General features: G+C 39.4%; 1 protein-coding gene across 3 annotated transcripts in view; it reads left to right on the top strand.

The window, feature by feature from the left end:
- TRPM6 (transient receptor potential cation channel subfamily M member 6) overlaps nucleotides 1-16,306 on the top strand; it is a 165,427-nt gene extending 149,121 nt beyond the window's left edge. For all 3 annotated transcript variants that reach the window (NM_017662.5, NM_001177310.2, NM_001177311.2), the window contains exons 36-39: nucleotides 189-394; nucleotides 6,065-6,116; nucleotides 10,456-10,562; nucleotides 14,055-16,306. In NM_017662.5, coding sequence (NP_060132.3) covers nucleotides 189-394; nucleotides 6,065-6,116; nucleotides 10,456-10,562; nucleotides 14,055-14,188 — 499 coding nt within the window. In that variant the 3' untranslated portion in view covers nucleotides 14,189-16,306. The remainder of the gene's footprint in view (nucleotides 1-188; nucleotides 395-6,064; nucleotides 6,117-10,455; nucleotides 10,563-14,054) is intronic.

The raw sequence follows: 17,771 nt of genomic DNA, 5'->3' as shown, positions 1-17,771 counted from the left end.
TGGGTAAGCATGGAAAGAAAAATTCCCAATATTTGCATCCTATCCCTTCCATAGAAAGGGCAAGGGCATGTGCATTGAGGCTGCATCATACCAGAGTTAGGTAATCTTCCCTGCTGATGACTGCTCAGTAAGGTAAGTCCCACTTTTGCTGTATTGTGGGGGATCAATGGCCTCTTTTTCCCTAACAGGTTCCTGGAAGTTTTCTTAATCTACTGCCATTCAGCCAACCAGTGGTTGACCATTGAGAAGTATATGACAGGGGAGTTCCGGAAGTATAACAACAACAATGGTGATGAAATCACCCCCACCAACACCCTGGAGGAGCTGATGTTGGCTTTCTCTCACTGGACCTATGAGTACACTCGGGGAGAGCTGCTGGTTTTAGATTTGCAAGGTGATTGATGATGTAGGATTTGATACAACAAGCATGAGGCAAAGTGTAAAGAGATCTTGCAAGAACCAGGATGGGTAATATATGGAGTTGCTCTATTTAGCTTTGAAGGGAGGTGGGCACATTTATTTCAGAGACATTGTACAGTGATAATCATGGAATCTGCTATGTTATTTCCCACTTAGGTAGGGGGAAAAATGTAGGCAGATGATTATCTATTTAAAATGTAAAGACATCTAAATTTTTGAGCAAAATGGGGAATGATTTTTGTAACAAATTTTTCAGTTTTATGACTTCACTTAGCCTTATGTTAATATTTAGGCATGCATTTATACACATAGGAACATTTAAATTCTGGGTGTTTTTCATGATTTTGAGCTCATTGCTTTAGCAATTTATAATTTAGCTTGCTCTCTTTGCTGTGTCCCTTGTTACAACAGTTCATGAAAATACACAGACTGAGAGAGGCAACACAGCACACTCTTATTTAATGGAAGCCTTTGGTCAGCACATCTCCTGGCTATCAATACCTCACATGTGACTTATAATCCTGCGGCACAAAACAGAGTATCTCCAGCAGGCTTTCCTTGCAGGGACAGAACAAAATATGTATTGAGGTCAACGTTTAGTCCTTAGGCTCACTGACTAGGGCTTTGGTTTTAAATAAGAGATTTAGTCCAGGAAGTTCATAGAAGTTACCTCATTTAATCCTAGAAGCAGCACCTTGAGGTAAATATTATAGGAATTTGGGCCCAGAAAGTTTAATAACTTGCCCAGAGTTGCACAGCTGCTTAAGGGGGAGCCAGGATGCAGACTTAAGCTGTTCTTAAGACATCCCTGTTCTTTTCTTTTCACTGTTCTTTTATTTCTTTTAAGAGTTTCATATGTAGAGGGTATAACCATCTTATGGTTTGTTTAAACAACTTGGGCCTTTTTCTTGTCCTGTCTGACTTTCCCAGCTCTCTGGTTCTGGGATTCTATGCTGAAAGCCAGGCTTGGAGGTTGGAGAATGTAGAGATAAGCAGACAGTCCTGGGGCATCATGAGCAATGTCCGGTAAGACTGCAAAGTACTTTGATTGAAACTTGTGTCACATGCTCAAGGATGTGACACAAATTTTTAAACTACATATAAGTGCATTTTTTAAATGACATATAGGTGCTTCTGTCCTTTCAGATTTATGCTGCTCACAGTTGAATTATATTTAATTCAATTCAAACCCAATATTTTAGGAAACAATATAAACAAAGTTAAAATGACCAAGTTGATTCAGCTTTTAGACCAGCAAGTACCTGATCCCTATAAACCCAGAGCATTGATGCCCAAGGCATCTATTTTTGTAGCTCAAATTGGAGAGAGGTTGATTGTTTTCATCTGTATTTGACTGTTTGTGCTTTGAGTTTTGGGTGGAGTTGTTTAAAAAGGAAAAACAGAAACACACACACAAAAAAAAACAACGAAAGAAAAACTTTAAGGAATTAATGATGACTCTTCAGTGTGTTTTGTATTCCACTTGAATAGGTTTTTGTTTAATGATGTTTATGTTTGGGGATTTTTATGTCTCTTAGTAATCCAAAGTAACATTAAACAGAACAAATGCTGCGTTGACAGTCTTGAGGGAAAAAGAGAATTAACTTTATTCTTTTAATGGGCAATTATGTGAATTGCAGAAATAGGCCGCTCCAAATAAACGATGTCAAAACATTGACCTTCAAAGAAGGAAAGAGTGGACATCATAGAATGAATGTTATGAAATTTGAGATATTTATCAGAGAGTTTTGGCCAATTGGTTAGACCTGGATGTATGGAAGAATGTGAATCCTATAATAGTAATTATGAACAGTTACACCACTACTACTAGCTAACATTTACTACGTTTGTGCCAGGCACTTGGCTAAAGGTTTACGTGCATTATTATATTTAATCCAAACCATGTTGGAAAGGGAAAATAGAATGTATTTTTAAAATCTCTTAATGGTTTTAGTTCAGTTTTATATTGTATTTAATTTATTTGTATTTCTAGTCTTTGGAGAGATAATGCACATTGTCTGGGTGGTGGAAGTGGAGACAGAGGCTCACCAGCAGCAGTTAGGAGGAGGAGCTCTGGAGTTGCAATGCCGGAGTCTGACTTCTGGTTCCACTGTGAATTAGCTGCATAACACGGAGGAGCAACCACCTTGAGTCCCACTTCCCTCATTTGTAAATGGGGAAAATAGTATTAGGCACTTAAGCCATAGAGTTGTTAAGGGCAAGAATTGAGACAAGTTCCTGATACACCGCCTTCAGTAAATGTTAGTAATTGTTGCTGTAAGCATTAATCTCTGTGTGACTCTTTAATATGGAGGTTAATCTGCAGTTGCAGGGAGTCCGCCCTCAGCTGTGTGGTCCTGTTGGTGCTGCAGAGAGACTGCAGCTTCAGCTTCTATAGAAGAAGGCCCTGCTCAGTGTGCTGTGGTTCCCTACCGCTTTGAGAGAAAGAAGGAGTGTGAAATACTCGAGCAGTTTATTCTTTCAGTTTCTTTTCTTCTTCTCTTTGCTTTCTTCCAAGGGAGTGCCAATAACTAACCCCAGAAGCTGCCACACCAGGTCAGAAACTGTACTCTAAGGAGAGACCTGACCAATTTCCAATCACTTGTAATTATGCTGAAGTTTTTTGCTCTCTTTCCACTTAAAAAATCCTACATGTGAGGGCCTGAATCATCATCATTAAAATCCAACCTTTAGTTCCCAGCAACAGGAATTAAAAACAATTGTATTTCAAATTACAGTGGTTTATAGCATTTTTTTAGCTCATTGTATTTTTCAACATTAATTTGGAGATATTAATATTAATTTTTAGAGATATTAATTTTTTTATTCAACAAAGCAGATTCCAGAATGTCAGCATTGGCATCGACATCATCATCATCATCAATTCTGCTACTACATAAAAAAATTTCCACCAAGCTACATAAATTGGTAGCTTCTTTCCACCAATGTACAAGTTCATTGATGTACTCAATGATGGTTGGGATCAGAATGTCAATCTTGAGTTCCTCATAAAGGGTTGCTGCATATTACCTGACATGAGCATTTACTCTCTTGAAGTCAGATTGGTACTTGGGGCTGCTCTTTTCTCCTCTTCTTTTCTTTTCCCTCTCCTCTGCTCTCCTCTCCTCTCCAATTCTTCCTTTTTTGTTTTTTTTTTTGAGACAAGGTCTCACTGTGTAGCCAAGGCTGGCTGGAATGCAGTGGCAGTCATGGCTCACTGCAGCCTCAACCTCCTGGGCTCTAACGATCCTCCTACCTCAGCTTCCCGAGTTAACTGGGACCACAGGCACACGCCACCACACCTGGCTAATTTTTGTATTTGTTTGTAGTGATAGTGATGGGGTTTCACCATGTTGGCCAGGCCAGTCTCAAACTCCTGGGCTCAAGAGATCCGCCTACCTCGGCCTCCCAAAGTGCTGGGATTATAGGTGTGAGCCACCGTGCCTGGCCTATTCTCTATTTTCACACACTGAAAGGTCCTTCTGCCATTTGTGTGCCCCAAAATATGTATTTATTAGTTAATCTTTGGATTGTCAGATTGGGTTTAGGGGTATAAAGTTTTGTGGATACTCTTTACCCTCATTCTTATAAGGAGTTCTGTTCCTTAGGGAGCATAGCACTTTAGGGAAATGAGATAATCAATCAGAAACATGATTTTACTAGTGATAAGGAAATAAAATTTCACTTCACAAGAAGTTCTTGATAGGAGAAAAATAATACAAGTAACTGAACATTTTTTCAGCTTCCTAGGGGGCAGACACTTTGCTAAGCAGTTTGTGTCCAGTAGTTAATTTAATCCTCCCAGTAACCCTGTAAGATTAGGCCCATTATTATTCACAATTTCAGATGATAAAACTGAGGTTCAAAGAGATTAAGGGAGGTATCCAGGTCACCCAATTTCAAGCTCTAGGTTATTTTTCTAAGGAAGTCAGTTTCATAGGGTGAAAGTCTATAAGGATTACATTTTCTTATGAAAGGTTTAGCATATTGTAAAACCTACAGACGATAGCAAAAATCTTTTTAAAACATACCAGCTAGAAAACATGAGTTTTCTCAACAAGTAGAAATACACTAAAATTTACAAATTTTATATAATTTTAAAATAATCTTCCCACAAGGTTAGTTGCTTTCAAGCAAACAGAAGCATGGTTGATTAGAGAATGATCTCAGAAATCGCTGGATTGTGCCCAAATCTTACTGGCTGGCCTGGAACATTTCCATCAGTGGAAATCAGCCTCCTCACCACTTGTATTTTATAAGAGATTCACTTTAGGTGCTGATTCCTGTTTTGATAAATTTTAGCTTTACATTGCACCTATGTTACCTTTTTAGGCTTTAGTGTCATCTTTTTTTCAAAGGTAAATTTTATTGAAGACTTATATACGTTTAGAAAATTCACATACCATAAGCATACATCTCAAAGAATTTTCACAACTGAATACACAGGTGTAACCATCACCCAGATCAAGAATTTGGTGGTTTCTATTCTACTGTTTATAAGTAGAATGAAAGTATAAGTATGTGGCCGGGCATGGTGGCTCACGCCTGTAATCCCAGCACTTTGGGAGGCTGAGGTGGGCAGATCATCTAAGGTCGGGAGATGGAGACCAGCCTGACCAACATGGAGAAACCTGGTCTCTACTAAAAGTGCAAAATTAGCCGGGCATGGTGGCACATGCCTGTAGTCCAGCTAGTAGGAACACAAACTTTGGCTCAGCATTAATCCTGTTTTGACCATGTATGGACTGTGCAAACTCTGACAGATGACATAATTGGTTTGAACATCAGTGTACTCATTGATGTAAATGAGGATAAAATGTAAAACGAGGCTACGAGGATAACACTTTTCTTTTATAATTGCTGAGAATTACAGAAAATAAAATTAGAATATCTGCTATATACAAGTGGTAAATGAATGACAGATGCCACTATCAGTAACTGTGAACACACCACTAAAACAATCATTTGAGGCCTAGAAGTTTATTATAACAGAGGGTTTGTGGGAAACAGTGCATTAACTAAAATTTTCAAACATTTCTGAACAATTTTTATAGTGCATTTAATTTACATGAATTTTTGAGAATTAAAATATTTAATTTTTTATATTTAGTTTTTATGTATCTTCATATATTTGGGGGTACAAGTACAGATTTTTTTTACGTGCTTTTTTTTTTTCTTTGAGATAGAGTTAAGCTCTGTTGCCCAGGCTTGAATGCAGTGGCGTGATCTCGGCTCACTGCAACCTCTGCCTCAACGATTCAATGGTTCAAACGATTCTTCTGCCTCAGCCTCCCGAGTAGCTGAGATTACAGGCATGCACCACCAAACCCGGCTAATTTTTGCATTTTTAGTAGAGATGGGATTTCACCGTGTTGGCCAGGCTGGTCTCGAACTCTTAATCTCAGGTCATCTGCCCACCTCCACCCCCCAAAGAGCTGGGATTACAGGCGTGAGCCACCGCGCCCAGCCAGATTTTTTACTTGCCAGTATTGCTTAGTGGTGAAGTATGGGCTCATGATGTTTAATTTACTACAGAGTGACTGTGAGTTTTAAATTAAGAAATTAGAATTTAATTATTATTTTCTTGAATTTCTAAGAAAATGAAATCTCCATTTGCTAAACGAATTTTGTTTCTTCTTTTGAGGTGTTGGAGAAAATTTGACAGATCCATCTGTTATAAAACCTGAAGTCAAACAGTAAGTTAATTTATGTGTTATCATTTAGAAAATTGCATTTAACATATAGTAAATGGTTTTAAAAATAATTTACAAACATATATGTTCCCTGCCTAGATCCTAGAAAGGTTTTTAGGTAGCTTATGTATATAGACCAAAAACAATAAGATTATAAAAAAGCATAGGTTAGGAAATGGGGGGAAAATATGGAAATATGTAAAATGATATTAAATCTGCAGTTAGATTTATACACATAAATGGAAATTATAAGGACTAATGCAAATTTGACTGAGTTCCCAATGTGTAAGTTTAGCCTCTGTGGCTTTGATATGAGAGCAGTGTCATAGGAGAAGCACAGTTTCCTTTTTTGTCTTCACAATGGAGTCATTGCATCTTATCATGGGCAGCATCTTCCATCATATGCTTATAAAATGAAAGCTAGGGGCATAAAGTGTGCTATTTAGTAACAGCAAATCTTATGAGAGGACAAAACAATGGAGCTTAAATATGAAGCATCAGATTATCTGACTTAAATAAGAGCTGAAGTTTAAATTCTATAGAGAGATGACTCATCAACCTGCCCCTTGAATTCCCATGGATATTTTATCCCAGAAGCAGGTTTTTGGGAAGACTTGGCAGTAAAGGATCTCAGGTTGTATTCTTCTATTAAAGGTGGGGTAGAAAGAAGTGATAGTGAGGGTTAAACACTGATCAATATGGCTGGCAAAAATGGTTCTCAAATAAGAGCTTACATCACAATCACCAGGAGAGCCTGTTAAAACACAGATTGCTGGGCCCCACTCCCAGAGTTTCTGCTTCAGTAGGTTTGGGGTAGGGCCAAATAATCTGCATTTCTTACAAGTTCCCAGGGAATTATGATGCTGCTGGTCCAGAGACCACTCTTGAGAACTGCCAGCATACATTTTTACTTCTTAATTGTCATAATTGTCTATACTTGACCCCTGGGTGGTAGTTTTATATATATATTATATATATTATATATATTATATGTATAACTACATAAGTGGGCAATCAATAAAATCTGAAATTTTTACTTTCCCTCCCCAAGAACTCATAAATATTCACTGCTTTAGTGCTGTGTTATTTTACTGAGTGATTTAATCTAAACATGTAGGCTTCTATGCAAAGAGGCCCATCTAAAAGTGTATTAGATATTTAATTGGACTAGGTGAACTAGAGAAAATAAAGGTGATCCATATTGAACATACACATCTAATTCCTATGATATTTATTTGACTGTGGAGACCGTGTTACCACTCTTATATACATAAAGACTTTATTATGTTTCACTTTAGCTCTGCTAAAGTGTTTTTAGCTAAGAATATTATTTCTTCAGTAGTCCTGTGTGCCTAAGGGTTAGTAGTAGGAATCTTGTACTAAAAGTACTTTATAATTTTGCAGTGGAAATTTTTTGCATATATAATGAACCAAGTTTATGTATACCCCATCTATCATTTATTAAATTTTGACCTTGGCATATGTCACTTAATATGACCTGAATATTCTATCATTTAGAATTCTAAGATTATATTATCCCACTTGACAGGTAGGTATTTAATTGCATGCTGTAGGCCAGTGGGCCTCAATTTCTATTAAAGTCACCTAGGGAACTTAAAAACAAAAGCCAAGGATTGGCATCAAATTGGAATCTCTGAAGATAGGGCCCTGATATCTGTATTTTTTTAAAGTTTCTCATGTGATTCTATGGGCAACCAGGGTTGAGAAACTCTGTCTTAGGGCAACTTTATTTTCTTATGACTTAAGGATAGGAACTCTGGAAACTGATAGGATGGTTTCATTGTGGCCTTCCTGGTTTTGTGGGGTTACCCAATTTTGGATGCAGTTGGCCTTCATGGTCAAGATAACAAGAAGCACTATTTTCCCATGATCATGGGGAATTACGTCTGATTAGTTCAATGGGGCTCACATTTCGAATGCCTTACGTGTCTGAAGCACTTGCTACACGAAGCATGGGACGTGGACCAACAAGGTCAGCATCACCGGGAAGATGGTTAGACATGCAAAATCTCAGGACCCTCCCCAGAAATACTGAACCAAAATCTGAATTTCCACAAGATCCTCAGGTGATCCGGTGTAAATTAAAGTTTGGGAAGCACTGATTTAAGCAAGTGCTTTCACGGGTTATTTATTTTAGCCTTTGCAACAACAATGAAAGGAAGCATTTTCAATCCCAGTTCAAAAATGAGAAAACTTAGGCTCAGTGAAGATGGTAACGTTCCTATGAGGAGAAGGGGTCAATGAAAGGATAACCCTCTACCAAAAGAGAAGATATTCTTGTGGTATAAATTCTCATATTGTTTCTAATGCTTACTGTCTCTTAACTTTCCCTAACCTTCTGCCTTGGTTATTGGTCATTTGGGATTACAGTTTTTTAGCTTGCTGCTTTGATAGTTTTGGGCATTTGACAAGTATGAAACGATGATGAGATGTTCTTTAGTAGATCTATGTATAGATGGCACTAATTAGCGTTTCCTCGCATGTGGAACCAAGCTACCACCTGCTTTTCCTGTGTTGTGAAAAATCTGGAAAACAGCTACTTGTATTTTTTTTAAAACCTGGTTATCTAAGACTGCAAGGCTCTAGGCGTGCTGTAGCGGGTAGATGCAAATGAATTTCCTTACAACTCTCCTTCATTCTCCCCTACACTGGGAGTGGTCGAACTCCTGCTATATGCATTTGGTATTAATTTTGATTCTTTTGTCTTAACTTTCCCAAAGCTCATAGAGGGAAATCATTTAACTTACAGGTTTTATCTGAGATTCAGTGTTGCATCTCTAAGTTGGGGGTTTTTATGTTTTACTGGGAGGAAGAAATGGCAGGTATGGAAAGCAAATGAGTGAAATAGTCTAACAGGGTCATGTTGGAGAGACTATGAAAAGGCATTCTTCAATTTAAACGACTAAAATAAACACTGTGTTTCACTTTATTGGCATCGTAGAATCCTGGTCTAAATGCTGAGTGCTTCGACTTTTTTTGCCACCTTCAGTTTCACCTTATTGAAGTGGTTCCTTACCAGATGGACACAAAGAGAGAGGAATAGTTAACAAGAGGCAGCTTAGGCAGCCGGGTAAATACCCCCAGAGCTGTACTCTGTAAGAGCGATTGAGTGACCAGGAAAGTTAATCCTGTGTGTCTGTTCACTTTGTCTTCCCAAGAGATTTCCTCCACCTACTCGCCTCGGAGCAAAGAGGCAATCTGAGATCAAACTGACATCAGCCCTCATTCTGAGCTTGGCACATCTTCAGAGCAGCTACTGTTATTCTGCCAAAAGGAAGTGGAAATTGAGATAAATGTTTCAATCCTTGGATGGAAAAAAGTCCATTTTTACACCACGTCCCTTTTGAAAAACCGCATTCCTTAGAAGCGAAGTTTATTGTTTCCTTTTGTGATAGTTTGCTTTTCTTTTTTCTTAAGACGTGGTATTTAAGAGCGGTAATTGAGTTCAGATTTTAAAATGTGCTGTTTCCACTCTGCATGTCATTAAAATAAAATATTAGCTTTCATAAAGTTTCTTGGGAAATGTTTCTGGTGTGCTCTGCTCTGTGGTGTGCAGTGTCAAAATCCAAAGAATGATGGTCGCCTTTGATATGATAACGGATGAACACTGATCTTAGAATCTGCTAGGGATTTGTTATGATTATAGAGTATTCAAAAGGTGCCTTATATATACTGATTCTATTTGTAACTCTGTCACCTACATCGAGCATATGTACTTTACTTCCACCAACACATTGTGTCATAGTCTTGTCTTTCCACAAAAAGCCCAGCTCTAGCAGTTTGCAGGAGAGCAAGTGGCTTTGAAAGAGCCATGAGTAAGGATCTAGGGTTTAGTCAGGAATTTGTTTTTGAGGACGGTTATTTTCAGAAAAGTATTTGGGTTTGAAACAATGTCTATGCATCGTTTTAGAAGGCGTGTCCCAAAAGCAAATGTATTTTACTTTATATCTTACCTTTGGGGTATTCTAGTAGAACATTTGGTAATGAATGTCACTCTTTCACCCCATATGCATTAAAAAGGATTTCGCTGTATTTTGTTTTAATGTGGTACATAGAAAATTCACTCTTCTATCAGATTAGCGTTGAAATGCCGTTGAAATGCGTTTCACAGTAGGTCTTGGAGTTGGGAGCAAAGATTTAAGTGCATTTGAATTTTAAATTTGCAAACCTAACATTGTTGTTTCCCCAAAGTGCTCTGTTTTTTGTTGGCTCCTTCAAGTTTACTGGGTTACTATGGGATACTGTTCGGTATCTCGGAGAATCCTAGTTGAGCTCCTTTTTCTTAGCTGTGATCTAATTGATATTCTGATATTTCCTCTAGATCAAGAGGAATGGTGTTTGGACCGGCCAATTTGGGGGAAGATGCAATTAGAAACTTCATTGCAAAACATCATTGTAACTCCTGCTGCCGGAAGCTCAAACTCCCGGGTATGCCACTAACAGTTCTTTTTTCTCTAAGTAAATCTCTCATAGAACAACATCCTTTGTAACCTGGGATAAAGTAGAAAATCGTAATCACATTTTTATCTCATTCACCGTCATTCGCAGAGCCTGACTCTCTGACTGCAAAATTTTCAAGTCTCTAAAGGGATTAAAAGGACAGGGATTTACTTTAGGTTCTGCCAAAATGTGATAAAACAACTTGGGGCCCAATACTTGTCACAGTCACTCCAAAAGAAAAGTTCCACCGACTTAAATGGGATGAAATCTGACCGAGGCTGGTCTTTGCCCCCGCCCCACCCCCCACATTTGGGTCCTGCCAGCTGCGGATGGCCACAGGGTGTTGGCCACCGCATTTCTATTCTATTCTAATTTCGCCATTGGGTACTTGGGAGGGTGTGGTATGGAGGGAAATGACACCCTCAATTAAAGTAGTGCTTTTCACTGTAAAAATCTGCTACTTTGAACACACATTGCAACATATATTTTTTTAAATCTGATTTGATAATATGACATACTTAAAAATTCCTACTATAAAAGCAAGCAGCTGGAGGCCTGTGCCCTCCAAATGGGCAGTCCTGGCTCTGTTTCATTCCTTTCTTTTGTCCCAGAAGGGAAGCATCATGTGTGCCTCAGCTTGCCCACTACTTTTGGTCACACCGGACTTGTCCTTACAGTGGGATTTCACGTATCTTAAGCTGAGTAGCTCTTCTTGCCTTATAATAAATGATCATACCCCGAATTTGAAGTCAGTAAAAGAGCACCATCCATCGTAACCTGGGATGGGACAGGTGTAAACTTATAACAAACGAAGGAGATTTCTTTTTTTTTTTTTTTTTTTTTTTGAGACGGAGTCTCACTCTGTCGCCCAGGCTGGAGCACAGTGGCGCAATTTCAGCTCACTACAACCTCCGCCTACCGGGTTCAAGCGATTCTCCTGCCTCAGCCTCCTGAGTAGCTGGGATTACAAGTGCTCACCACCATGCCCAGCTAATTTTTTGTATTTTTTGTAGAGACAGGGTTTCACCATGTTGGCCAGGATGGTCTTGATCTCCTGACCTCATGATCCACCCACCTCGGCCTCCCCAAAGTGCTGGGATTACAGGTTGGAGTTAGAGGTAGGGGGAGCTCTTGTGGTGAAGGCATAGAAAGACAGAGTTGGAGCAGGCTTCCAGTTCCACTGGGAATATAGTGGTCAGCCAGGGGTGGGGAGATCAAAATGCAGCAGTCAGAGAGCAGAGGGCCATAACTCTCACAACTGGCCAGGACTCACTCTCACAAATCACATACCTGATGTGAGCAAAGAGATTAGTGCACAGCCAAGCTGCCCACTGGCTTCTCTGGTCAAAAGGAGCTCAGGAAGGGGCTGGGACTGGACTGTGAGTCATCAGGACCTCCAGGTAAGGGCCCTCTGGAAGGCAGGAGCTGACAACGATCAGAGTCATTCCATGATGGCAGGCTGGAGTCCGGCTCATTCACTCAACATCCTCCGATACTGTCCTTTTCCCAGGTCTGATTCATTCCTACCCTGGAAGGGCAGCCTGCATTCTTGAAGACACAAGTACTACATCTAAGGAGCCAGGACACAGGGAGACTTGAGACAGAACTCACTACTTCCAATCCTTGAGCTCAGTTAGTGGTCCTGTATGATTAAGGTTGAGATAATTTTTTTATACTACACTGGTAGGTGTTTTTTGTTTATTTGTTTGTTTTTTTGAGACAGAGTTTTGCTCTTGTCATCCAGGCTGGAGTGTAGTGGGGCAATCTCGGCTCACTGCAACCTCCGTCTCCCGGGTTCAAGTGATTCTCCTGCCTCAGCCTCCCTAATAGCTGGGATTACAGGCGCCCGCCACCACGCCCAGCTAATTTTTGTATTTTTAGTAGAGATAGGGTTTCACCACATCGGCCAGCCTGGTCTCGAACTCTTGACCTCAGGTTATCCACCTGCCTTGGTCTCCCAAAGTGCTGGGATTACAGGTGTGATACACTGGTAGGTTTTGAGTAATTCAATAATTCCACCACATCTAGTCCTAATTCATGTTTTCTTTCAAAACCTTAGTTTTTGACCAACATTTAAGTGGAAATAAGAAATATCCTTGTTTATTCAGACATTTGGTAATCTAAATAAAAAAAGAGTTTTGTCTGGAAAATAGGATTAGAGGTGATTTTTCATTTTTGTTTGACTACGTTTCCCTTCATATTTTTTTATATGAGAGGCAGTTTAGGATAGTATAAAGGGCATAGGCTCTGTAGCCAGAGAGGCTGAACTCAAACATTTTAATTCTGCTTTTTACCAGCTATATGACCTTGGGCTTCAGTTTCCTTGTCTGTAAACCAGGCATAATAGCACCTGTTTCATAAAGTTTGTGTGAAGATTGAATTAGGTAGTATATGTATTAGTCTGTTTTCATGCTGCTGATAAAGAAAATACCTGAGACTGGGCAATTTATTTAAAAAAGAGGTTTAATGAGCTTACAGTTCCACATGGCTGGGGAGGCCTCACAATCATGGCAGAAGGCAAGGAGGAGCAAGTCACGTCTTACCTGGATGGCAGCAGGCAAAGAGAGAGCTTGTGTAGGGAAACTCTCGTTTTTAAAACTATCAGATCTTGTGAGACTCATTCACTATCACAAGAACAGTGCAAGAAAGATCCACCCCCATAATTCAGTCACCTCCCACTGGATTCCCCCCATGACACGTGGGAATTGTGGGAGTTACAATTCAAGATGAAATTTGGGGTGGGGACACAGCCAAACCATATCAATTTACATGTTCAATAAATGTTGATTGTTTTATTATTAATATATAATATGTATTAGTTTTATTTCCACATAATCCTCATTTAACATTAAAAAAATAAGAAATACATGTTCTAGGCTAGCAAATACAATAAGTACAGCACAAAAAGGTCACAAACATTTTAACTCCATTTTCCTCCGTACATGTCTTACAAAGGTTATGCCTATTAATATTTTCTTTTAACTTTTTTCTTTTCAAATGGAAGGAGGGCTTAGGAAGCATAGGATCTGATAACTGGATGGAGCTTTTATTGGCTGTACCAAACCTGAGGTGGAGCTTTTGTCACAGAAAACTGACCACTGAGATGAGGAGTCAGCCTTCTTGGCTGACCTCTCTGCCTCTGCCTGTCATTCAGTAGTAAAATGCCCCATTTCCCATTTGGTCTTACTTAACTCTGGCCAGATTATGCCTTATAGGGCACTGTGTATTGAAGCAAGCAACCAAGTCTTTCTTCCCTGCTCCCATAAACAGCACCCAAACAGCATAGGGAAGGAAGGGGGGTATTGGGGTGGGAAAGGAGGCTTAATCTAGACATGGTTGAGGGTTTGAGTTCCACATATCTATGGTCTGAGGAAGAGGAGATCTCTCTGAACACTTGGCAAAGCCTAAAGTCCCATTTGTCTTCATGAACAGTAGGTTCTTGGGGTTCCACTATAACCTTTTTACTTGTCCTCCTTGCAGATTTAAAAAGAAATGACTATTCCCCTGAAAGGATAAATTCCACCTTTGGACTTGAGATAAAAATAGAATCAGCTGAGGAGCCTCCAGCAAGGGAGACGGGTAGAAATTCCCCAGAAGATGATATGCAACTATAAAAAGGGAGGAGCAAGAAGATCCCAGTGCTTGCCCTGCCTGCCAGGAACTCTGTGATAACATAGATTGATCAACGTGATGTTGATTACATCAGCGTCTCCTTGGGACACGCCTTCTGAGCCTCACATCTCCTTCTGTTCAAAGGCCTCATTGGTATATGATCAATGGGTTCTCCTAGACACTGACCTCTGTCCAGGGCACTTTGCAGCTCCATCCTCAAGTTCCACACGAAGATGCTTGGATGAGTCAGCTGGGAATATTGTTCTTGTGTACCTCATTGCTTTAGCTGGTCACTTGGAACTTTGGAGCAGAATCCTGCACATTAAAGGATGGGGTTGGGGGGGATACATTTATTTTATTTTCTCACTATGTATGCAGACTGGACCCCCTACTACTATTTGTCACCTCACCCACAGATTGTATTTATGTCTATATATATGTTCATAAAAAGTTATGTGATTTCCTCCTCTGTCTTTTCCACAACATAGGACTTTGAATAGCAATGATAGGAAAAACAATGGAACAAGGGTGGGTTTGCACAGATTGGAGCACATTCCTGCACAAACTACCAAGTATACTGGTGAAATCTCGATGGGTTTCAGATATTGTCAGTGAATCATATGATGCCTGGATATTTCAGGTTTCTGTAAAAGAAAGGGAAACCTAAAACAAATACCCTTCCATATATAATATATATGGAATATGTATATTATATATATTTTTATATATATAATATATATGGAATATATATATTATATATATAAAATACATATGGAATATATATATTTTATATATATATATATATATTTTTATTTTTGAGATGGAGTTTCACTCTTTTTACCCAGGCTGGAGTGCAATGATGCGATCTCACTGCAACCTCTGCCTCCCGGGCTTGAGCGATTCTTGTGTCTCAGTCTTCCGGGTAGCTGGGACTACAGGTGTGCACCACTATGCCTGGCTAATTTTGTATTTTTAGTAGAGATGGGGTTTCACCATGTTGGCCAGGCTGGTCTCAAACTCCTGACCTCAGATGATCCACCTGCCTTGGCTTCCCAAAGTGCTGGGATTACAGGCGTGAGCCACTGCGCCTGGCCTTTTTTTTTTTTTTTTTAAACGAGAACAAGAATATGAAGAACTGGAAATCATTAAGAAAGGGTTTCCCTTCCTTAAAGCTCAGGGGTACTATTAGTTAGGAGTTGACTAACTCAACCTGTAAAACACCACTCCTCCTTCCAAAGTTGTATATATAATATTGCAGGTTAAATTACTTTATGTCAGGTCCTATGAAGAAAGATACGGTTTCAGACTGAAAACATGTTTCACAGGTGTTTGCTTCCTTCCAGAGCAGAGTTCCCTATTCCCCTGGCATAAAGAATGTATATATATTTTGAAATATGGCTGAGAACATGTCATTGGTTTGTGAGGCCTAAGGTGAAGCACTCCTGGCAGCCACACTGTGTAGTGTATTTGAGGGATCAGTCATCCCTCTTGTATGCTGGGCCTGGTTGCCCTACCTCGAACAAGCACCAGCTTTTCACACAAGGAGAGATGTGGGGCTGGGAGTCCTCTCCCCATCCTATTGCATCTCCTTTCTTATTATAAGCTGTTCCAGTTCACAGGCAGCAAACCTCCTGGGTTTGAAAAATTCCAACTTATTTTTATCTTTAATCCTGACATTAGCTGACTTGCTAGTGAGCTTGCTTTAAAAATCTACACTCTTGCATTCTTAGGCATACAGGGGAAATGTTGAAAAGGAAGGTGGAAAACCAAGAATTTAGTTTGCCAATGATTGCCTCTGATTCTTGTAAGTTTGAGTTCCACAAGGGCTAATTTATTCCCCTTTTACTTGGGTTTTGGGGTGGTGGAAAGCGGGAAATTTGGGTGATTTGTTGATTGGCAATGAGGATAAAATGTTAATACTTTTTTGGGGACTTAACAACTTTATCCTATTCTACAAGTCAGTAAAGGAACAATTGGTACTCACCTCAGTGCTGCACTCAACTATGGAAAGAGGCAGAGTTTGCTTGCCCAATTGCCAAACTAAAGACATCAGTTCATTGGTCAAATATTTGTTACCTGGAATGGAACTTGAAAGCAAATACATTTGGATTTCAAATTTCTGTGGTGTGCCTTTTCTTTTGTTTGTTTTAAGAAAAATCAACAGAATAACATTTTAAAAAGATGAACTGCTGAGCAAAAGTCGTTGTGGGAATACTTGCATGCAAATACCAGTGTGGCAGTCTTGACTTTGAGTGAACCATGACCACAAAAGGGTGGAGTGTTCATTCAGTAGGTTGATTTTATTCAACAGATATTAAGTGCCTTCTCTGAACTGCGTTAGTGATGAGGATGTAGTGGTGCACATGGCATGTTTTTGCCCTCAGAAAGCTTTGTCTCATGTTTCTTTTTGTTTGTTTGTTTTGTTCCACGTTTGGATTTCTAGCTAATGCTAAAGAAATTTAACTTCTGGCCAAATGTCAAATTCAGAAATGTGTTTCATATCCTATCTGCCAGTGGGCAGTAGGATTGGACTGGGTAAGAGAATTAGGACAAATAAGAAGCCATGGCTGGGGCTGGTTTTAGGATCTACTGAGGAAAAGCAGACCGCATAATCCTTGTCTGAGCACAAAGACCATATCACAGACAGGATCTGAATTTGACTTTGGCAACCAGAGAAGCAGCCACATTCCAGAGAGACCTCTCCTGAAGGCATCCAGTACATAGGATTTTCTTTGCTCAAGGCCATATGGTCCTGGAGTGACTCCTGCCCTATGCTATCTTAAAGCTTCTTAGAGCTCTGGGGAATGGAATCAGATACAATTTTGGATATTTTTGCCCTGTTGTTATTTTCTGCAGTTTTGCAAAACAAACACCGGGTGACTAAGAATTCCCAGCAACCATTTAGTCAATGCTTTCAAAGAATTTTTTTGAGTTGTTGTTGTTTGTTACTGTTGTTTTAGATGAGACCTATTGCTCTGGTTCTAGAAATCATGACACAGATTCCCTTGTTGTCTCTCGTTGTCCTTCTCAATTAGTCACCAACATCTGACACAAAGGAAGGCACATAATATGCTTTCAACAATATTTGTTGAAAGAAAAAAATCTTCACATAATAGTGGATTTCATTCGCTAGGTAATAAATCAGATTTGAACTTTTAATCTAGAAGGAAATAATTACCAATTCCTTAAGACCCAACACAATTCTTTTGATCTTTCTCTGTTTTAATTTTCTAAGAAATAGCTTTTAACAACCTATACCTTGTCTATTGAATTCTCACCCACTTCTTGCCCTTATCACCCTTGGTGAGAATACCAGAGTACAGTCCTTCACTGGTGACTATTGAAATGAGATGATAACTTCCCAGAAACTGCGTAGAAATAATCATCACTTTATTACCCTTTGAAAAGAAGATTGATAGAAAAGTCATTCGAAAGATGGTTCATTACCATGCCCTAGTACGATTTCTTTACTCACATCTCTCTAAAGCATGAGAAAGGGAGGATTATTCTCTAAGGTCGGAATTTGAAGGCTGTTTGCCTCTTTGAAGTCTCGGTATTTAATTTTCTGTAGTCATTTCTTGGGCA

Source organism: Homo sapiens, chromosome 9 (genome assembly GCF_000001405.40).
Source record: "Homo sapiens chromosome 9, GRCh38.p14 Primary Assembly".
Lineage (NCBI taxonomy): Eukaryota > Metazoa > Chordata > Mammalia > Primates > Hominidae > Homo > Homo sapiens.
The sequence above is the reverse complement of the archived record's forward strand: the minus strand, read 5'-3'. Positions and strand labels throughout refer to the sequence as shown.